This window comes from Homo sapiens, chromosome 17 (assembly GCF_000001405.40).
Source record: "Homo sapiens chromosome 17, GRCh38.p14 Primary Assembly".
Taxonomy (NCBI): domain Eukaryota; kingdom Metazoa; phylum Chordata; class Mammalia; order Primates; family Hominidae; genus Homo; species Homo sapiens.
This window is the reverse complement of record NC_000017.11, coordinates 20,199,014-20,222,740: the sequence shown is the minus strand read 5'-3', so window position 1 is coordinate 20,222,740 and position 23,727 is coordinate 20,199,014. Positions and strand designations below refer to the sequence as shown.

Below are 23,727 nucleotides of genomic sequence, written 5' to 3'. Positions count from 1 at the left end.
ACAAAAAGAAATCATCTGAACATACAAAACTCATTGGTAACAGCAAGTACACAGACAAATACAGAATATTTTAACACTAATTGTGATGTGTCAACTACTCGTATCTTAAACAGAAAGACTAAAAGATGAATCTATCAAGAGAAATAACTACAACTTTTCAAGACATGGTATAATAAGCTGTAAATAGAAACAACAGACAACAACAAAAAGTTAATAAGACAGAAAATCAACAAAGAAATATCAGACTTAATCTGCACTATAAAACAAAACAAATGGAACTAACAGACCTTTACAGAACATTTCATCTAATGGCTGCAGAATACACACTCTTTTCCTCAGCACATGATTCTTCTCAAGGAGAGACCACATGTTAGGCCACAAAATAATTCCTGAAACTTTTTTTTTTCGAGACACAATCTCGCTCTGTCTCCCAGGCTGGAGTGTGGTGGTGCGATCTCGCTTCACTTGCAACCTCCGCCTCCTGGGTTCAAGCAATTTTCCTGTCTCAGTCTCCCAAGTAGCTGGGACTACAGGTGCATGCCACCACACCCAGCTAATTTTGTATTTTTAGTAGAGACAGGGTTTCTCCATGTTGGCCAGGCTGGTCTCAAACTCCTGACCTCAGGTGATGTGCCCGCCTCGGCCTCCCAAAGCGCTGGGATTACAGGCTTGAACCACCACGCCTGGCCCTGTAACTCCTAAAACTTAAAAAAAAAAAAAAAAACTGAAATCATATCAGGTATCTTCTCTGACCACCATGGAATAAAACTAGAAATCACAAAGAGGAACTTTGGAAATTATACGAATACATGGAAATTAAGTAATACACTCCTGAATGACCAGTGGGTCAATGAAGGAATTAAGAAGAAAAAATTAAAATGTCTTAAAACAAATGAAAATGGAAACACAACATACCAAAGCTTATGAGATACAGCAAAAGCAGTACTAAGAGGAAATCTTACAGCAATCAGCGCCTACATCAAAAACAGAGAAAAACTTCAAATAAACAAACAATGCATCTTAAATAACCAGAAAAGCAAGAGCAAATGAAACCCAAAATGAGAAGAAACAATAAAGATCAAAGCAGAAATAAATGAAATTTTAATGAAAAAAATACAAAAGATCAACAAACAAAAAGTTGGTTTTTGAAAAGATAAACAAAATTGACAAAACTTTGGCCAGACTATGAAAAAGAGAAGACCCAATTAAATAAAATCAAAGATAAAAAAGGAGATATTGCAACCAATACTACCGAAATTCAAAGGATCATTAGAGACTACTATGAGCAACTATATGCCAATAAATTGGAAAACCTAGAAGAAATGGATAAATTCCTAGACACATACAACCTAACAAGATTGAATCATGAAGAAATCCAAAACCTGAACAGACCGGTAACAAGTAACGAGATAAAAGCCAGAATAAAAAGTCCCCCAGCAAAGAAATGCCCAGGACCCAATGGTTTCACTGCTGAAATTTACCAAACATTTAAAGAAAAATACCAATCCTATTCAAACTATTCCAAGAAATAGAAGAGAAGGGAATGTTTCCAAACCAATTCTGAAAGCAGTATTATCCTGATAACAAAACCAGACAAAGAAAGATACATGAAAAAAAGAAAACTATAGGCCAATATCCCTGGTGAACATTGATGCAAAAATCCTCAACAAAATCCTAGCAAACCAAATTCAACAAAATATTTAAAAGATTATTCATCATGACCAAGTGGGATTTATCCTAGGGATGCAAAGGTGGTTTGACATATGCAATGTGGTATCAACCAAATGAAAGGTAAAAACCATATGGTCATTTCAACTGATGCTGAAAAAACATTTGAGAAAATGCAACATCCCTTCATGATAAAAACTGTCAATAAACTGGGTACAGAAGGAACATATCTCAACATAATAAAAGCCATATACAACAGACCCACACCTAGTATCATATGAATGGAGAAAAACTGAAAGCTTTTCCTCTAAGATCTGGAACAGGATAAGGATGCCCACTGTCACCACTGTTATTCACACACAGTACTGGAAGTCCCAGCTAAAGCAATCAGACAAGGGAAAGAAATAAAGGGCATCCAAATTGGAAAGGAAGAAGTCAAATTATCCTGGTTTGCAGATGATATGACTTGATATCTGGAAAAAACTAGCCTCCACAAAAAAAAAAAAAAAAAAAACTATTAAGAACTGATAAATTCAGTGAAGTTGCAGGATACAAAATCAACATGCAAAAATCAGTAGCATTTTTATATGCCAACAGTGAACAATCTGAAAAAGGAATCAAGAAAGTAATCCCATTTATAGTAGCTGTGAGTAGAATAAAGTAGGAATAAACTTAATCAAAGAAGTGAAAGATCTCTACAATGAAAACTATAAAATATTGACACCAGAAATGGAAGAAAACACACACACAAAAATAAAGACACTCTATGTGTAGAGACTGGATAAGTCAATATGTTAAAATGTCCACACTACCCAAAGCAATCTAAACAGTCAAAGCAATCCCTATCAAAATACCAATGACATTCTTTATAATTTTTTTTAAATCCTAAAAGTCATATGGAACCACAAAAGACCCAGAATAGCCAAAGCCATCCTGAGCAAAAAGAACAAAACTGGAAGAATCACATTATCTGACTTCAAATTATACTACAGAGCCATAGTAACCCAAACAGCATGGTACTGGCATAAAAACAGACACATAGAATAATGAAATAGAATAGAGAATCCAGGAATAAATCCATACATCTACATGAACTCATTTTCGACAAAGGTGCCAAGAACATATATTGAGGAAAAGACAGTCTCTTCAGTAAATGGTGCTAGGAAAACTGGATATCCATGAGCAGAAGAATGAAACTAGACACCCCCCCCATATACAAAAATCATATCAAAAGGATTAAAGACTTACATCTAAGACCTCAAACTATGAAAACTACTAAAAAACCAACAACATTGGGGAAACTCTCCAGGACATTGATCTGGGCAATGATTTCTTGAGTAATAGCCCAAAAGCACAGAATACCAAAACAAAAATGAACCTATGAGATCACATCAAGTTAAAAAGCTTCTGCACAGCAAAGGAAACAATCAACAAAGTGAAGAGACAGCCCACAGAATGGGAGAAAATACTTGCAAACTACCCATCCGATAAGGAATTAATAACCAGAATATATAAGGAGCTTAAACAATTCAATGGGGGAAAAAAATCTAGTAGTCTGATTAAACAGTGGGCAAAAGATCTTACTAGACATTCTTTAAAGACATACAAATGGCAAACAGAAACATGAAAACATACTGAATGTCACTGATCATCAGAGAAATGCAAATGCAAGTCAAAACTACAATGAGATACCATCTCACCCCAATTAAAATGGCTTTTATCCAAAAGTCATGACTTTTATTCAAAAGTCATGAATGACAAATGCTGGGGAAGATGCAGAGAAAAGCAGACCCTTGTACACTGTTGGCGGGAAAGTAAATTAGTACAGCCACTATGGAAAACAGTACAGAAGTCCCTCAAAAAAACTAAAAATAGAACTACCATATGATCCAGCAATCACACTGCTGGGTATACACCCAAAAGAAAGGAAATTAGTCTATCAAAGAGATATCTGCACTCACCAAGTTTATTGCAGCACTATTTACAATAGCCAAGACTTGGAATCAACCTAAGTATCCATCAACAGACAAATGGATAAAGAAAATATAGTCCATATACACAACAGAGTATTCAGCCATAAAAAAGAATGAGATCCTGCTATTTGCAACAACATGGATGGAACTGGAAATCATTATGTTAAGTGAAATAAGCCAGACATAGAAAGATAAATTCATATATTCTCACTCATTTGTGGGAGTTAAAAATTAAAACAATTGAACTCATGAAGATAGAGAGTAGAATGATTACCAGAGGCTGGGAAGGGTGGTGGGGCAGGGGTGGAAACAGGGATGGTTAATGGATACAATATAGTTAATAAAACCTATTATTTGACAGCACAACAGGGTGACTACAGCATTGCATACCTGTGTCAAAATATCTCAGGTACCCCATAAATATATATACCTACTATGTACCCATAACAATTAAAAATTAGAAAAAAAGAATAAGGGAGGGGGGAGGAAGGGACGGAGGGAAAGGACAGGAGAAGAGAGAGAGAAACAGCCTGGGAAACAGCCAGAGAGCCCTGCCTGTGCTCAGGGGTCAGCACTGCTCTGTGAAGCTTGTGTTTTAATTATAAAGGCGTGAGACTCTGGATTGTAATACAAAATAGATCATTGCAGGTTGTGCTCTGAAGCTTGAAAGCTGCTTAAATGCATCAAGATGACTAAGGACATATATTCTGGAGCCAGACCGCCAGGGTTTAAACCCCAATTCTAGTGAATCAAGCCTTGTATTCCTTAATCCCTCTGCCTCTGTTTCATAATCTAACAATGCAGGGTTGGGGGGTGGGCAGTTAAGTGAAATAATGACTTGGAGAGTTTATCATAGTGCCTGGAACATGTAACAGTAAAAGTCAATGAAAGTCATTCTTTCTCTCACAATTGCCCTATGTATTATATATACAACACTAGGTAGTAATATAATACAGGTCAGTTTGACCAAGAAAAATCACAATACATGAAAGACCAATATATACTTAGCAATAGCTACTTTATTAAACAGAAGCTGACTTTACTATTTTTTAGTTTTTTTGGAGTCAAGGGACAAGGTCTTGCTCTGTTGCCCAGGCTGGAGCACAGTGGCACGATCACGGGTCATTGCAGCCTCTATCTCCTGGCTCAAGCCATTCTCCCCACTTCGGCCTCCCTCAGAGCCAGGACTATAGGTGTGCATCACAATGCCCAGTTCATTTTTTTTTTATAGGTGGGGTCTTGCTATGTTGCCCAGGCTCCCGGGCTTAAGTGATCCTCCCATCTTGGCCTCCCAAGTGCTGGGATTACAGGCATGAGCTGCTGTGCCTGGCCAGAAGATGAATTTAAGGAGAAAAGAAGTAATGCATTTTAGATCCTGGAAGGCTGATGTCTGAAATCATTTGAAAAGCAGCAATAGAAGGTGGCTTTTGAGTCTTGCATCCTGGGGCAGACTGTGGCCTTCTGCATAACTACCTGGCTGCATGTTGTAGAGTCCTCAGGCTAAGGGCCTGTCACCTGGAGTCTAGAAACATGCATGTGGTTTGGCTGGGACAACTGTGGGCCAGGAATTAAACTGAGGATGTAACGAGGCAGCCTAGAGGTCGAGCACCCTGAGCAAAGCCTCTGCTTGCAGGTGAGGCTGCTGTCCCTCAAAGGCTCTGCGCCAAGTTACAAGCTAGGTAACTCGGCATGGGGGAGGGGACCTGCAAATCAGCAGTTGTTTCACATGCACACATCACTACATCCTTCTTGGATGTTGGAATAACTATCTCAAGTTTAACAATATATTCCAGAAAGCTATTTACAAGAAAAAAAAAACACACACACACACACACAATAAAAAAACTGAAACCCTTAAGTCATTTCACAACTTCTCACAAGGGCTTGCTACATAATAACAGGCAGATATTTTTATATTCATTTTACAGAATAACATATGAAGAGAGGGAGAAATTAAATCACTTGAAAAGAGTAATCCAGCATGTATCAAGTGGCTGAGACCAAAGCCTACCCTTCCACGACTGCAGGGGATCCAGGCCCTATTCACATTGCTGGTCTCTCTGCTGGCCAGCTCCTTTGCATTTCCCTTGAGATTTTTTTTTCTTTTTTTTAAGACATGGGGTCTCGCTATGTTGCTTAGGCTGAACTCCGGGGCTCAAGTGATCCTCCTGCCTCAGCCCTCTGAAGCTGGAACTACAGGGAGACCACCCAACATGTCTGACTGGCCAGCTCCTTAGAGTTTAACTTCTCTAGGTCAAGAATCACACTCTTAGACACCCAGCAATGTGATTTTCAACGTTTCCCTTGAAAAAAGGAATCACTCTCATGCATCTCTCAATTTCAAAGATCAACTTTCTGTAGATATGGAGCCAGTGGAATTGCACTATAAATAGAGTCAAACAAACTTCCCAAGAAGGGTTCCTGCAGAGAGGACAGAGAAAGCCACTCCTTTCCATCAGGTGCCCAAGGCATATGGCAGCAGAGGTTCCTACGCAGGGCCCAGAGGATAAGCAGGCAGCTCTGAAGTCAGACCCCTCTAGAATCCTATCAAGGGTCACCTCCTCCACCCACCCCACCCCCACACCATGCTTGTCAGACACATGTAAAGGAAAATAAAGTCTCAGGACCCCCAAACTCCTTACTCGGAAGATAAAGTTAAGCCTGGAGGCTGAGTCATGCTACTTGCCATCCTCTCCCCAAAAGAATCACTGTCACTTCACAAGCTTGGATCAAAGAATTAGATTAGACATTAACCAGCACCCTAAGGAAAGGCAATGGGCCTCGGGCATCTCCAGATGAGTGCTCCTGCAAAGAGGAAGTGCTTGGGGGTGGGGGGGATGCTCTCCCCGACTGCAGATATTAAGAGCACTCCTATGCTGGTGGCAACACACACATCTAGATTCTCCTCTCTCGGAGGGGTAAACAACTGTTTGTGATGGTTTGACCAAGGGTAGGGTTTGGTCTCAGCCACTTGATACATGCTGGATTGTTCTTTTCAAGTGATTTAATTTCTCCCTCTCTTCATATGTTAATCTGTAAAGTGAATATAAAAATATCTGCCTGTTATTATGCAGCAAGCCCTTGTGAGAAGCTGTGAAGTTACTTAAGGGTTTCTGTTTTTTGATACCAGATAATTTGACAATACTGAAAAAAGATCTCTGTCAGGGCATCTATATAGCTTTCTTTAGTGTGATGAACAAAAGCAGAAAGGAAATCAAGCTAGAGATATCTAAGAACCAAGCTCTTCTCCTACACAAAGCAGCCATAAGAATAGAGACTGTAGACTAAAGAGAATAAGGAATTAGGTTTATAGATTACCCAACATTATCAATATATAAAGAACAAAGAAAACAGTACATTCAAGTAAAAGCATTCTGTGAGACAAAATGCGGCTCAAACATTTCAGTGTTAGTTATTTTTTGTAAATTTTTATAGCAAAGACAGTATCTTGAAGAATTATGCCCTGGCTATGAGAAATCATTTAATCTTTCATTCAAATAGTTACATGCCAAAAACATGGTACTATAGAGACATGGACAGAATGAGATCACTATAATAAGTTCTGAGTAAATTCCAGTAACATTAAAGTTGTACAGACAGTTTTATTAGAAAACAGAACAAGTGGAGAAGAAAGATACCTGACTCATAAACCCCCCATAACTGCCTCTTGTGTAAGTCTGTCATTTTACTTGGCTTTTGACTTAATCTGTTTATTATATAGTGATTATATAGTCCATTCAATCAAGTTTTCTCGAGTGCTTAAAAAGAGATCATCTACCAGGGCAGAGAATGGTCAAGAATTCAGAATCGCACCTGCTCATCTTCAGAGTCGCAACCTCCTCTGACACTGTGGAGGCTCCTCACAAACCTCAGCATATGTGAAATGCATTCATGGAACATCCTGTCTAGACATATTTCTACAGCTTCTAAAGGTACTGGAGGGGCAAAGAGAGACCTCAGGCACGAGGCCCCGGCCTTGGAGGACTCTTGGCCTGGAAGGGCAGAGGCTCCCGGATCTCCTCTGTGGCTGCATCGGCAGTTGCTGACAGCAGCCTGGGCTTGCAGGCCTGGGTATCCTTGTTAGCTCCAGCAGATAACGCTCCCTTCTCAAGCCTGCCCCACATTCTGTGTTTCCTCTCCCAGGAAGCAGCACAACCGCACATTCAATCCTACAAGCTGGAGATCTATGAATAGGCTGAAATGCCTTCCTCCTGCCCGTCCCTGACATCAAATCAGTCACCTGACCCTACTGAGCCTCCCTTCTACACATCTAACATCTAAATGTCTTTCCAGGCCGGGTGCAGTGGCTCACGCCTGTAATCCCAGCACTTTGGGAGGTTGAGGTGGGTGGATCACTTAAGGTCAGGGGTTTGAGACCAGCCTGGCCAACATGGTGAAACCCCGTCTCTACTAAAAATAGGAAAGTTAGCTGGGCGTGGTGGCAGGTGCCTGTAATCCCAGCTACTCAGGAGGCTGAGGCAGGAGAATCGCTTGAACCCAGGAGGTGGAGGCTGCAGTGCGTGAAGAGATGCACCACTGCACTCAGCCTGGATAACAGAGCAAGACTCCGTCTCAAAAATAAATAAGTAAATAAAATGAATGTCTTTCCAGCCCTCATCTTCCCACCCAACTCACTCCCTGTTCTGTCCTTCATTCTTTCTCACCTAACTGTGGCCCAAGTCATCTTTCTCAACAGTAAATGTGATTCCATAACTCTTAAAATTCCTCCGACCAAAAGCACAAACCACCAAAGAAAAATAACTAAATTCGACTTCATAAAAATAAAAATTAAACAATTTTGTGCCATAAAGGGCATTATCAAGACAATGAAAAGATAACCCACAGAATGAGAGGAAATATTTGCAAATCATTTATCTGGTAAAGGATTTGTATCCAAAGAATAGAAAGAACTCTTCAGCACTCTGGGAGGCTAAAGTGGGAGGGCTGCTTGAGGCCGCAGGGCGTGGGTTCCATGTGTATAAAACATCCAGAAGACCCAAGTCCACAGAGCCAAAACATAGATTTGTGGTTGCCAGGGGCTGGGAGGGAGGCGGTCTTGGAGGGTGACTGCTGTGGGTTAAGATTTTTTTACGGGGTGATAAAAATGTTCTAAAATTGATTGTAGTGATGGTTGCACAATTGTGTGAATACACTAAAACCCACAGACTTACGTGATTTAAATGGATCATATCTCAATAAAAGCTGCTATTTAAAAAAAAAAATTCTTCAGAGACTCCCACTGTCTTGAGGATAAAATCCTAACTGCTTGGCTGGTGTCTCCACCAGGCCACTTCCACTGACCACCCTGTTCACTCCAACAAGGACAAACTACCTGCATCACTTCCTTGGTGGCCAGGCTTTCTGGCCTTAGGACCTGCTGTTCTCTTCTGGCAGCATTCCCAGAGTCCCCACCCCATACACTCAGGGGTCAACTCACCCCCTCTCCCCTCAAGACTCAGGTAGAGGTCAAACAAAATAACATTTCTTGATGACTCAGGTTTTCACTGTGAATTTCTCCATTGTATTACAATCAGGTAAAACTCTCCTAGTTCAACAAGGCTTTCAAAGGTGGTTTTCTTCAAAGGGCTTTGGCCTTAAGATGACAGTGACAACTATTAGTCTTAGGTCTGCTTTAAGTGTTTTTCTGTCTCTTCTTTGCTTTCAGGTAACTGGGCAGCAGTCTAAATCAGTGATTATAATAAGAGCTCTGGGTACGTTGGCTCACCCCTGCAATCCCAGCACTTTGGGAGGCACTGAGGTGTGGGAGGATCATCATAAGTTTGAGATCAGCCTTGTCAACAGAGCAAGATCCTGTCTCTATGAAAATAAAAATAAAAAATTGGGCATAGTGTTGCACACCTGTAATTCCAGCTACTTGGGAAGCTGAGGTGGGAGGATCACTGGAGCCCAGGAATTTGAGACTGCAGAGAGCTATGATCGCACCACTGTACTCCAGCCTGGGCAACAGAGCAAGACCATGTCTCAAAAAAAAAGAAAAGAAAAAAAAGAATAAGAGCTCTAAGGTCAGACCCAACTTTGAATGCTGGCTTCATTTCATCAATCCATTAGACTAATAACTTAAATCATTCTGTTTGCTCAAATGAAAAAATACTAGACAACAGAATCAACAGCATAAAATTAAGATAAATAAGATTAAATGATGGAAAAGCTCTGAGACTGCTTAGCACATACAAATAGCCCAAAATATTAGTTGCTGTTATTAAAATATAATAAACTTTACTTTTTAAACATATTAATATAATTATAGCAGCCCCTCAATTCTGCTGCAAGTTTCTCTGACATTCATTCATTCGTCTGAAAAGTATTTACTGAACACCTAATAGATGGAAGGAATTGCAATGCTAAAATTACATATAGTTTAAAAGGAAATAAACTTGGAATGACAGCTTGAGTAAATTTACCATGAGTGATACAGACTGGCTGCCTCCCCACCTAAATCTCATCTTGTATTCCCACATGTTGTGGGAGGGACCCCAGTGGGAGGTAATTGAATCAGGGAGGCAGGTCTTTCCTGTGCTGTTCTCCTGACAGTATAAGTCTCACGAGATCTGATGATTATATAAGGGGGAGTTTCCCTGCACAAGCTCTCTTATTTTGTCTGCCACCATGTGAGATGTGCCTTTCACCTTCCACCATGATTGTGAGGCATCCCCAGCCAAGTGGAACTGTTAAGTTCATTAATCCTTTTTTTCTTTCCAGTCTCAGGTATGTCTTTATCAGCAGCATGAAAACGGGCTAATTCAATGAGTAAGAAAGTGGGGTGTTTCTGTTCTGGCATCTAGCTTGGGTACTGCAAAACTCCCTCTGCTCGGTTCTTAGCCCTGTTGTGAATAGACACTGCTGATAATCATCCATAGTTCATTCTTATTGGCCTAAAGTTGAATTATTATTATTTTGGCCAATGCTGCTCCACCAAGGGAGAGGAGGAAATGTTAGTTTATTTACACTTCAGGTATAGTGGAGAAAGGCTGTTAGAAAACTCAAAGATGAGGGTAAACATCTGTATTTCACCTTTAGGAACTCAGAGGCAAGCTTCAGAAGCAGTGGCTGTACCCTGGTAGGGACCTTTCGAAGCAACAAGGCCCCACGCAGGTACTTCCCAAGAACTCGGACTGGAGAGAGAAGTGCTGGGCAACACCAGGTTCGCAGATGAGTCCTGAGGTCATGTGAAAGGAAGAGACTGCTTAGGCCTCACCTCACAAAAGGCATTAACGTGTCCAGGAGAAAACAAGTCCATCGCAGGGAAGCAGGGTCAGGCAGGATTGGGAAGCAGCCCCCTGTGGAGTCACAGGTAAGAGCAAGGGGTCGGAGCCACAGGTTCTGTGGATCTGCCCAACTGGCAAGACCACCCTTCCTCAAACTATCTGACTGTCTCCACCAAACTTCTGCCCCTTTTCAAGGGGCTTCAAGAACAGAGACCTGGGGGTGTCGGGAGAGGACCTGGCAGACATGCCATGAGTTCCGGGCCACATGCCTATCACATCCCACAAAATAAAAGGCTGCACAGGCATTCTGGCTTTGTAGTTTAATCTCTAGAAGATTCCGCTCCTAATGCTAAACTGGCTCTGCACAGCCAGGCTGAGGCCTGTGGCAATTTTCCCCAGGCCACAGCCCCTTGAGCAGAGGCTTACTGGTGCAACAGCTGTGGGGCTCTCCCCAACAGCCTCCACAGGCCTCCTCGACTTCCACATCCTCATGGCTTGCCCAGGGGAGCTGGAAAACAGGCCCTGTTGACAGGAGCTGCTGACAGGCCTCCTTCCCAGCATGAAGCCACAGGCCTCTGCTCACCAGAGTTGATATTTGGTGCCAGTGGGATGCCTTATGTGTGAGCTGAAGATGACTGAAATCTCCATGTTTTCAGCTCAGTAACCTTCCCACCTCTCCAGCAGCAGCCAGTGGCTACTCAGGCAGCAGGTTCCCTCAGCTTCCCTGCAGGGCCCCAAAGAGTTTTGCCTGCACATCTGAATCCTCTGAGGGCCAGGGTGGGTCAGGCCATTCCCATGAGTGACCTTGGCTGAGTGACAATAATGTCATTTACTGAGATGAGTCTGAAGTTCCATGGGACAGGGCCCCGCAGAGCTGAATGCCTCGCTGAAGACCCCATAACTGAGGCGGAAAGCTTCAGGAGGGACCAGGTAATGGTCAATGGGGTGGGGTCTCTTCAGGCCGAGAAAACCCCCTGAGCAAACATGACTGCCAGACAGTCACTGGCCCGGCCAGGCCTGGCATGGAGGGAGGGGTGGGAATATGGCTGGATGTGGGGTGGGACTGCAAGTGGAGGTGTGGTGGGAGCTGGGCACTGGGCGAAGCCATGTGGTGCCCCAGGCAGCACCGGAAGGCGCTACATGATCAGATCACTGTGAGTACTTTGTGGGAAAAGGTGAGGGAGTGGAGGCCTGGTGGGGCAAGTGCCCATCCCCCACCAAAAGCCACCCCCACCTTGTTTCTTCCTAACAGAATCCCAATTTTGTTCAAGAATCAGGCTGCAACTGTGATTTCAAGAGAGGTGGCCTGGGGGCACTGTGTGACGCAGTTCTCACCAATCAGATGTAAAGGTAAAGCTCTGGGAAACCCTCTCCCCATAGGACCCAGATGTCCAGGTGACATGCCTGCCCCAAGTCGCCAACAGGTGGACCAAGATGCTTGGCAATGCTGAGCTGTCCTGTACCCCTGGCAGGAGGTCCAGAACCACAGCACTGCCAGCCACAGCCTGGGCCTGCATCATGGGCAGCCACAGCCAATCTCCCACCCTTGGGGCCGGGGTGGAGGGAGTGTCCCCTGGCTCAAGCCGCTGACAGGAGGGCAGTTTCTCATATATCAATACATCACCTGGATACACTTCCAACCCACCTGACTGTTTAAACCAGGTTTCCAGATCTCTTAAGTCCTTTAAGGCATCCTATTCCAATGTCACAGCTACAGGATCATCTATTTGCCACATATTTCCCTCAAATTCTGGTTCTGCCATCTCTGACCACTGGCCACTCTAAATCAGTTTGGCTCTAGGACCCACACAAGCAGAACACTAGTCATTTCACCTCTGCTGACTCCCGCAAACCATTCATGCCAAGGGGTTATTTATAATCTCCTTACTCTTCTGGAAGCGGACTGAAGTTTCTGCAGAAAGAACTAAGATTCTAAGGATACCACCTATAAGCTTCAACCTCACGGGAATAAATAGATAATTTTCTTTTAAAACTTCTAGGTTTCAAGCCCAGAAAAGATATTCTAACTTGAAACCAAGATCCCAAACAACTGAAAAGGTAAAAAAGTAAATTAAAGCTGGGTCATGTTATTGTCTGGAAAAACAACAATCCCATACAACTCCATGCTGCTTGCTAGCTAGGGCAAGGATAGGAGTGGTGGCTTTGGGTTCTGTGGAAATCAGACCCGTCCTCAAAGTTGTACAGAAGTATGTCATGTGACTACAGATTAAGCGGCCATCAAGATGCATATGGGGTATATCAGAGAAGTTGAAAAAAATAAAGAAATCAGCAAACCAATGAAGAAAAAGAAATGAGAAGAAAAAAAGCCTACAAGATAGTGTAGAAATCCTACCAATTTTCCATTTATTGTTTGAGGAAGACACCTACCTCCTATTTTTAAAAAAGTACTTTTCAAGGCTTTTTATAGGTTCTTTTGACGGTATCTGGGTTGCTTGAGTAATCTTAACTTGAAACTTACATAGATTTACGGAATCTATTAGATCATAGGATGGTTTGGCACCACTTTCCCCTTTTGTAAATAGCTTATTGTATCCTTTTTAATAATATTCACCTTTCGCCAAGCATTAGAGTGGATGAATGCACTGCTCATGGGGTACACGTTGTTGCTTGGTGCTCAACAGGACAGTTACTCCGATACCTGCTGAAGGCAGCTATATTTGGAAGTTCTCAGCAAAAAGTCAAGTGAAACCACTGAAAACTGAAGAATTAGGATTTACCCCAGGAATGCAAGCATGATTTTACACTAGAGCACCTTAGAAAATCTGTTGTTATAACTTGCCTCACTAACAAGTTAGAGGAGAAAAAAACTTGATTACATAAAAACTATCAGATCACGTCATTAGCTGTAGAAAAAATTCAATCCTCATCCTTTAAAAACAAGCCAAGTAGTCAGGCATGGTGGTGCCTGGCTGCAGTCCCAGCTACCCAGAAAGGCTGAGGTGGGAGGATTGCTTGAGCCCAGGAGTTCAAGGCTGCAGTGAGCTATAATCGCCACTACACTCCAGCCTAAGTGACAAAACGAGAACCTGTCTCTAAAAATAAACCACCAAACAAAACACCTCTTAGCAAATACTTGCATAACATAATAAAAGGTATGTACCAAATGCCTACAAAAAACATACATCATAATTAAATGTTAAATGCTTCCCTTGGAATTAGATACGAGACCAGGATCCATCCACCGTCACGCTTCTATTCGACATTGCACAATGTAAAGGGGCCTGCCCAAGGTCACATCATTGCTCACTGGGTAAGTCAAGAGGACCCAGTCCAGCATGTTAGACCCTTCATCATAGTTTTGTGCTAAAACTTCTCCTGTTATCCTTTGGACATGAGTCTCTTAAGTATTATCATTTAAATTCATGGTTGTTGGCAGATTACTTGATAGTCTGTGGTAGAGATACAATCAGTATTAGTCCATTTAGGAGGTCTATGTTTTGCTTTTTCTACAGTAATGTAAAAGGGTAGGAAGATTAGTATGTTACAAGTCCACTGCAATTACAAATCAGTCTCTGTGCACATAAGACAGCACAAAATCACAAACCTAGGGTCTTGATAGATATACAAGAAACCCTATGTGATAGCATGCCCCCATCTTTACCTCAAACTCTCACCTAAAAATACTAGCTAGGACCTTTCCCTTCTTACTATCAGTATTTGATACTTCTAGTTAGCATGCAGTAAGATGTAGGATACATGAATAATAACAGTTTGATTTTAAACATATATGTTGTGCCTTGCACTCTACAGAAAATGCACACTTTCCTTTAAATTACATTTAGTTTATTCCAGAAGATTCCAGATTTTATTGCCTCTATTTACCAAAGCTATAACTTTAAATGCTTTCATTATCAACCAAGGATAAAAAAAAGTTAAATGAACAAAGAATTTTAGTCAAGAAACCAAAATGTACAAAAAATAAGACAAAAAAATTAATAAAGATAAAAGTAGAAACAAGTTAATCAGAAACAGATTAATAGTGGAATAGATAAACTAATCCAACTGATTCTTTGTAATGGAATGTGGACAGACATACTCTACTCTTCTGGATAGGAAGACAAAATATCATAATCATATCAATGCAAGTTTTTATGCATGCTCAAACATGTATAAACTGAGAAAAGGCCTGAAAGGACATACAGCAAAAGGTTAGCAGTTTTTCTCCAAGTGGTGAAATTAAAGGTAATACTTTTCTTTTTTATACTTTTCTGTACTTTTTAAATCGTCTGTAATAAAAATATTTTATGATCAGAAAAAAATAAGCTATTTTTAAGATGTCAAATTATTTCTCACTGATATGCACATTTAATGTAATGCCAAACTACCAAAAACACAGAGGGACTGATAAAGAACTTCAAGAAGGTGCACATGGGAGATAAAACATTTTGCCAGAGAGTAGTGAGTAATCTTAAAGTAAAAAAAGAATAATCTTACTCCACAAGATATTAAAACCCAATGCCAAGCCTGACTAGTAACCTCTAATGGAATTACTTCCGTACTTTCAATAAAATACCTACAAATTTAGAATACAGACAAAGAGAGAAACTCCTTAACATGACCCACCACTAAGCTCATCAGATGGCCAAATTGCAGAATCAGGCTGCAACAGACTCATCTTAAGACAGACGAAGCAGTGGAGAAAAATCTCCCTGAGAGCTCATGGCATAATTTGCTCCTTGAAACAATGACAACCCCTAAACTAAGGTAGGAAGATGTTTTGAATCTCTCTTGCCAGTAGATCCCTAAATCAGACCCAGAACTTGGAGGGAACAAGAAATAGGAGGCCATCTCTCTGCACCTCTCCAGCACTGCTCTGGGAGGTGGGCAGAATATCATAAAATCACCACAATTCTTGCATCAAAAACAAAATTACAGGCTGATTAAAGTGTTGAGAAAAGTTATTTGCTCTTGGGCTATGGAAGATCTTCCCAAGCAAAAAAGGTTAAAAAAATGAAATGATTAACAGATTTAAATGATATAACAATGTAATACCAAGTGCTGGCAAAGGCTCAGGAAAGCTCATGATCTCATGACCGCTAGGATGAATAAACTGGCATAATATTTCTGAAGGGCAATCTGGCTGAATGTGTTGAAAGTCTTTAAAATGTTTATACTCTTTGACTCGGTAAGTCATCGTCTAGGAATTTTTCCTAAATAAACAGTAAGATAGATATAAAAAAGTATTTATAATATTGAAAGACTGGAAAGACCACAAATGTTTGACAATACATGTATGTTCAACAACAGGGTAAATATGAAATATTTATATTAAAATAGTATCTGGCCTTTAAAATAATGTTTAAATGAATATTTAATGATAGGAATATGCTGAGAAAAGTTTTAATATTTCTAAAATGTCAAATGCAAAAAAAGTTAATAACATGTACAGGATGATTATAAATTTGTGTAACTTGTATGATACACATACACACACATATATCTGGAAGAAAACACCAAAATAGTGGTAATATTTTAGTTGAAAATTGGGAGTGATTTCATTTTCTGTTACTGGCAGCTAAAAGCATGCTGACAGACTGGCAAACTCCCACTCAATCTTCAGAACTCAGCTCAGTTGCTATTTCTTCCAGGAAGTCCTTCTGTGCTACGCCCAACCCCCACGTTACACCAGATGCCCCTCCTTTGCACTAGACTAGAGCCTGGGCATAGGCTGTATGATATTCTTTTATCACTGCATCATACTCTGATTTGACTCTACATCCCCACATTTTGAACCGCCCATAATCAGAAATTTGGGTGTTTCCTTTTTGTATCCCCCAATCCCAACCTGTGTGCAATCTAACAGGCCTTCAAGCTGGAATGCTGGCTTCGTGAATGAAACAGACTAAGCAAATGCTTCTCTGTGCTCTGTGAATTTAGAGGTTAAGGGCAGAAATGTGAACAAGGATGAGCAAATACCAGTAAAGAGCTGTCTCTTCTCACCTTGGCCAGCAGACTGGAAACATGTTTAATTTCACCGTTTGCCTTTAGTAATTCTTGTCTGAGCTCATTGCAAGACAGTTCCAGTAGATCTTTCTCTGCTCGGGCTACTTTCAACATTTCTTGAACTTCGCAGCTCTCTGCCGTCTGCTCCACAGCACTGGCCTCTGTGGCTTTCTGCTTCTCACCCTGCAAATGAGACTTCAAAGATCCATTCTCCATTTTTAGCCCTTCCAAGGTAACTCTACACTCTTCCAAAGTTTTGGCCATCATGTTATTATTATGCCGTTCCAGTTCTAGAAACTCATTCAGTTTTTCATTTTCTTCCTTCAGACGTTTAATCATTTCTAAAGCTCCTTGGTTTTCTTCCTCAACCTTCCGCAAGCTACAGGTCAACTGCTGCTGAATGTTGAGTAGCTTCTCTCTTTCAAAGCGGCCCTGTTCAAGAATACCTGTGCACTTCTGCTCCAGTTCAATAATTTTTCCTTCCTGAGTGGTGGGCTCTTCATTCTTTACTCGCTCTTGTAAAAGATTCATCAGCTTCTCATTTTCTTGACTTAGCTGCTCTGCCCTCTCTCGATGCTGATGAAAGGATGTCTCTAAAATCGTCTTTTCATCCACCAGCTTCTCATTTTCAGCTGTCAATTCCTGTACCATTTGTTGCTGGTCTGATAATTCTTGTAGAGTAGCCTGTAGTTCTTCTGCAGTGCTATGGTGGTTTTCTTCCATCTTTTGTATCTTCTCTGTGAGGGAAGCCAGGGACAATTCACTTACGCTGTTTGGGGAACTCCCAGCAGTAGAACACTTTGAACTCTTAAAGGGGTTACTGGTGGAGGACAGGGGCCTTGAGGGTGTCTCTGCTGTAATGTGCTCAAAGTCGGAAGCATCTGGCGACAAAGAAGCTTTGGTAACATCGCTACTTGAGGAGCCTGATGTCCGTAATGCATTTCCATGTATGTTTTTTTTATACTCATCAATGTCACTGGACATCTGATTTCCAGTTGGGCTTCCGAAGCTTGACTCTTGAGTTATGGATGTTGGGCAGCTGCTGTCGCCAGTGTGACTTGCTGCCCCTTCTGAATTTGGGGAGTGCTCAAGATAGATCAGTTTCTCCTTCAGGACCCGGTTTTCTTCCTCTAGATCGGAAAGCTCTTTCTGAAAGTTCTTGTTCTTCTCCTCAAGAGCTCTTATCATAGGTTCCGTGTCACCTGGGGAGACTGATGTTCCATCGACATTTGGGCCCAAAGCATCAGTCCCCTCAGCGTTCAGAGTCCTTTTCTCTTTGTATTTCTTTAGTTCACTTCGAAGCCTGTTAATTTCACTATCTTTTGCTTTGGCTTCTGCCAAAAGTTCCCGAACTTGGGACTCAAGCGCAGCCTTTTCTCCACCTTCATTCTCTTGCTTGGGCTTTGTGGAAGGGGTCCTCAGGTGTTTCGTAGGAGTGGGAGTGTTGGAAGAAGTTGGACTGGACACTGATTTCCTGGGGTTGGAGGGACCACGTGGCACAGACCTCTCTCTTGAGACAGTTACTGAAAATTCCCGTGGGGCTGGAATGCCTGTCCGTTTAGTTGTTGTAAAGGCCCCTTAAAGACAGAAGAAGAAAAAAATGAAAAAATAAAGCAAGCATTCTTATAAACAAAACCCAAATGACTGTAAATCACATGGCACAGTGGACAGTGGCTGTCGCTCTTCATCCATTTCCTCCTCCTCTAGCTAATTACCCAGTTCTGACTGTGGTTTCTGTGCTTCCTCCCCACAGCCCTATACTTTGGGTGAGGCTGACTCCAAGCCTGAGCTACTCAGGATGACCCCATCCCCAGCCAGTTGCTGGTTCACGCATGGGCACACAACTCAATTAAGATCAATGTGACAAAGGGAAGGTTTTCTGGGCAAGCTATTAAACACCACGGGACCAGAGTGAGAAAATGTGTAGGTGTGGGAATGGCTGGCAACCACCCTGCCCTTTCAAGAGGAAGGTGGGAATGCAGATGGCAGAGAAGGAAGAAGGAAACTAAACTCTCAATAGCATTGTTAAGTTGCTAAATCAAATCAACCCTGAAGTTTGGCCTATAGCTGGCCTTTCAGTTAGGCAAGCCAGTAAATACCCTTCCTATAAGTCACCTTGAGCTGGGTTTTCTGTAACTTGCAATTTAGTACATCTGCACTGATAATGTTGGCAACAAAAACAATGGCCTTTTGACAAAATACAAGTTCTTTGTGAATTTCTCAATAAACACTTTAAAAAACATCATTAACATATTTTGACAGCATAAATTTGATTAAGAAATCAGAAGATACAGATAATACTGAGAGATGGATCTGATACAATGACATATCACTTTTGCCGTAAGTGGAAATGATGTACTCATTTGTGTACATGGAGAAACAAGAATAAATGAAATAAGAACATACCTATGTTACTTGACATGATATAGACATAATACAGAATACTTGTAACAGCAAATGTAAGGTGTAAATAATTCTCTTTTATTTTCATCTGTACTATATCACAGACAATGTAAAAACAATTCTAGGGGTGAAACCCAGACATCAGTCTCCATTGTGCTCTAGAATTGAAACCCACCTCAGATGTTACAGTGTAAAATAAAATCCTGGACTTTTTTTTTTTTTTTTTTACAAACTGAAAGACTATTTGATGAGTCAAGGCTGGCTGCTGTCACTTACACAACTCTACATGCTTTCAGTGAGAGGTGTAATGAAGGGTCCCAGAAGTGGTCATCAACCTGTAGGCCTCTACAGTGTAGGAAGGGCACGGGAGGGAATGTTCCCATAGACTGGCAGCAGCCCCAGCGCTAAGGCAGGTTCCACACCTAACAAGATGGGCAGCTGTAAACCCACCACCAAGACTATTTCTGAGCCCTGAGCAAACACACACCTAAACATCCTGAATCCTGATGACATAAAGGCTGATGGCATTCATTACTAAACATCTAACAGCTGAGCTCTTTTGAAACTTTGACCTAATAAAGGCTGAACTGTCAAATTAATATATAGAAAACTATGGTTTTTAAATTAACTTCTTCAAATTAAGTTTCTGGAAAGCCAAGAGTATATCATAGACTTTTAATATAGTTGACCCCTGAACAACTTGGAGGTTAGGGGTGCCAACCTTTCATGCAGTCAAAACTCTGTGTATAACTTTTGGCTCCCCAGAAACTTAACTACTAATAGCCTATTGTTGACCGGAAGCCTGACTGAAAACATAAACAGTTAACACACACTTTGTGTTATATGTATTATATACTGTATTCTTAAGATAAAATGAGATAGAAAAAAGAAAATGTTATTCAGAAAACCATAAGGAAGAGGAAATACATTTGCAGTACCATACTGTATTTATCAATACCATAAGTTTACATGGTCTGTTTGCAAAATGAATCATCTGTCTGAAGCGACAGGCAACCATTCCTCAATCTAGCAAGCAATTCAATGCTGTCAGGGGTTTTATTGGCTTCTAGGGAGCACTGCCAGCATCACTAGTGGCACTTTGTATGGGTCCCATAGTGTTATTCAAGGTTTGTGGTACTGCACTAAACACAACAAAACATACTCAAGAATCTCAAGAGGTCACTTTTTACTGCGATCTGAGGTGTACTGGAGAGAGGAACTGCTCCCACAGAGATGATTAGCATCACAGTACCTTCCAAGCAGCTACCCCCAATGCTTGAGCGCACTGCAACAACATCAGGAAGTGGCTATAGAATTGTTACAGGAGTACTGTATGTACTACAGTTAATTGTATGCAGTTATAATACTGCATCTTTATATTTGTTTACATTTCTCTCAACTATGAATAGCACCATGTACAGTCTGTGTGTGCATAAGTTTAGACAAATTTTAACTTTTTATAATAGATTTGTGTATATTTTATGGTAGTAAATGATAAAACTGATTATTAGTATCTACATGTATTTTATGCATTCATGACATATGTAACTTTTTCTCAATTGTTTTCATATTTCTAGACTACCCAGTTCATCTGAATTTTTTTCAAACTGTTGCAACTCTCCAAATAATTTTCCAATGTATTTATTTTTTTTAAGTCTCCATATAAATGGACCCACACAGTTCAAGCTAGTGTTGTTCATGGGTCAGCCTTACTTATAGGTGTCACAGATACCTAACCTGCATCATACTACACACTCAACGAGGAAAAGACTTATTTAATTATTCTTGTGAAATAAGTATTAAAAACCACTAAGCACTAAAATGTTTTAGTAATGCTAGTTCTCTAGAATAAAGTCATTGCAGCAAGGACCGTATTAAAAACTGGAAGATAACTAAAGTTTCACCATAACTCTAGTCAGAACAGGCAAACCTGAGAGTCCAGGACTGATCATCACACTGGCATTTGTTATTCTTAATAACATCACTAAATTAAGGCTGACTTTTTCTTTCTTTTTTTATTTTTTTGAGATGGAGTTTTGCTCTTGTTGCCCAGGCTGGAATGCAATGTGCGACCTCAGCTCACTGCAACCTCTGCCTCCAAAGTTTAAGTGATTCTCCTGCCTCAGCATCCCGAATAGCTGGAACTACAGGCGCGAGCCACCATGCTCGGCTAATTTACTGTATTTCGTTTTTTTGTTTTTTTTTTTTTAGTAGAGATGGGGTTTCACCATGTTGGCCAGGCTGGTCTCGATCTCCTGACCTCAGGTGATCTCCCCGCCTTGGCCTCCCAAGTGCTAGGATGACAGGCGTGAGCCACCGTGCCCAGCCACTTTCTTTTTTTTAAACCTTCAATTGTTTGTTGGTTTTGAAGCTGGAAAAATTAATATAGAACAGATCAAGTCTGCTGTTATTTCCAGCTACAGTTTAACACCTTCCTTTTGCTGCCAAATTGCAGTCTGTTCTCCCCATAAGTGTTACTTCTGCCTTATCTATACTACTAGGAATTTTTAAAAAACCATGAAACTAAAGTATATTTATGAATGGATGTGTATTATGAAATGTACAATCCAGCCATATTTTTGTTATATCTATTCTTTTTCCTTTTTTTTTTTTTTTACTATGTCTGTCTCTGTTTTCCAAAAGATTCTTCCCATCTCTGTACACCTCATTTCAGAAACTGTTACAGAGCACAGGTTAGGTTCAGAGTTGCTAAAAATTCATCATCAGACCAATGATGATGGTCTTGGTTGTGCACCCACCATGTGAGCCCAGGCCTCCAGCCCAAACACACCTCCTCGTGGGTACTGACAGGGAAAAGTAAAGAGCAACAGCCCTACAGCTTACGACACCTCCTTGAAGCAGTGGGAGTCAGACCTCACTGCTAACCAAAGCACTCTGAAGTCCTGAGACTGGCCATGCTTCCTTACACAGCACCACATAAGGGACAGTGGAGAGAAGGGCCAGTGGAACAGGGATTGGCTCAGCCAGCACCATTGGATCTTTTGTGCTGCTCCCACCCCGTCATCACTTATGTGTACCATCCTCCTGAGGCTGGCTGATTCCAAGAAGTTAACATAAAAGCAAGCTCCATCTCATAATTATGAAGATTAACACAATCATAAAGAAGAAACATGTTTGAAGTGTGACATTTTTTAAATGCCAATGAAAAATTATACTGTGGTCAATCACGAGTACATCAAACTAAGCATTCATAGAATTCATATAAAATAAGCATTCACAAACTATAACAGAACACATGATATTGAGAACAGCTGAGTATTAAGCTGGTTGGTCTGTGAGTAATGTTACTGTTTCTCTTTTATGATTACATCTGTGCAATAAATTAGAAAACAGGAGTTAGCCAAACTGTATATGAAAAAAATGCACTAATCATCAGGGAAATGCAAATTAAAACCACAATGAGATATCACTTCTGTTAGAATGGGTACTACATTTGGGAGGTCAAGGCGGGTGGATCACAAGGTCAGGAGATCGAGACCATCCTGGCCAACGTGGTGAAACCCCATCTCTACTAAAAATGCAAAAATTAGCCGGGCGGTGGTGCCACAAACGCCTGTAGTCCCAGCTACTCAGGAGGCTGAGGCAAGAGAATCACTTAAAGCCGGGAGGCGGAGGTTGCAGTGAGCCAAGATCACGCCACTGCACGCCAGCCTGGGCAACAGAGCGAGACTCTGTCTCAAAAAATAAAATAAAATAAGACACAAGATAACAAGTATTGGTGAGGATATGGAGAAAAAGGAACCCCTGTACACTGTTGGTGAGAATGTCAATCAGTACAACCATTATGGAGAACAGTATGGAGTTTCCTCAAAAAGTTTAAAATAAGGCCAAGGCAGTAGGATCACTAGAGACTAGGAGTTCAAGAACAGCCTGGGCAACAGAGTGAGACCCTATCTCTACACAAAAATATTTAAACATTAGCCTGGGAATGGGGGCATGCACCTGTGGTCCCAGCCACTTGGAAGGATGAGGTAGGAGGATCACTTGAGCCCAGGAGTTTGAGGCTGCAGTGAGCTGAGATTACACCACTGTACTCCAGCCTGGGTGACCAGAGAAAGACCCTGTCTCTATTTAAAAAAAAAAAAAAAAAAAAAAAAAAAAACCAGCACGGTGGCTCACGCCTGTAATTCCAGCACTTTGGGAGGCCGAGGCAGGTGGATCACCTGAGGTCAGGAGTTCAAGACCAGCCTGGCCAACATGGCAAAACCCTGTCTCTACTAAAAATACAAAAATTAGCTGGGCGCCACAGCACATGCCTGTAACTCCAGCTACTTGGGAGGCTGAGGCAGGAGAATTGCTTGAACCCAGGAGACGAAGGGTGCAGTGAGCTGAAATCAGACTACTGCACTCCAGCCTGGGCAACAGAGTAAGACTCTGTTTCAAAAAAAAAAAAAAAAAAAAAAAAGCTACCATAAGATCCTGCAATTCCATTACCACATATGTAGCCTAGAAGGCAACAAAGCAAAAGCCTT

General features: G+C 41.2%; 1 protein-coding gene across 34 annotated transcripts in view; it reads right to left on the bottom strand.

The window, feature by feature from the left end:
- Window positions 1-23,727, bottom strand: part of SPECC1 (sperm antigen with calponin homology and coiled-coil domains 1) — a 309,668-nt gene that overhangs the window by 96,286 nt on the left and 189,655 nt on the right. For 22 of the 34 annotated variants that reach the window (NM_001386083.2, NM_001243439.2, NM_001386080.1 and 19 more), the window contains one exon: window positions 16,829-18,408. The exons of 3 other annotated variants lie outside the window; for them this stretch is intronic. In NM_001386083.2, coding sequence (NP_001373012.2) covers window positions 16,829-18,408 — 1,580 coding nt within the window. Of the gene's footprint in view, window positions 1-16,804; window positions 18,409-23,727 lie in introns of all 34 variants that reach the window. 9 more of the 34 variants (XM_047437065.1, XM_017025319.2, XM_047437067.1 and 6 more) reach the window with 1 other exon arrangement.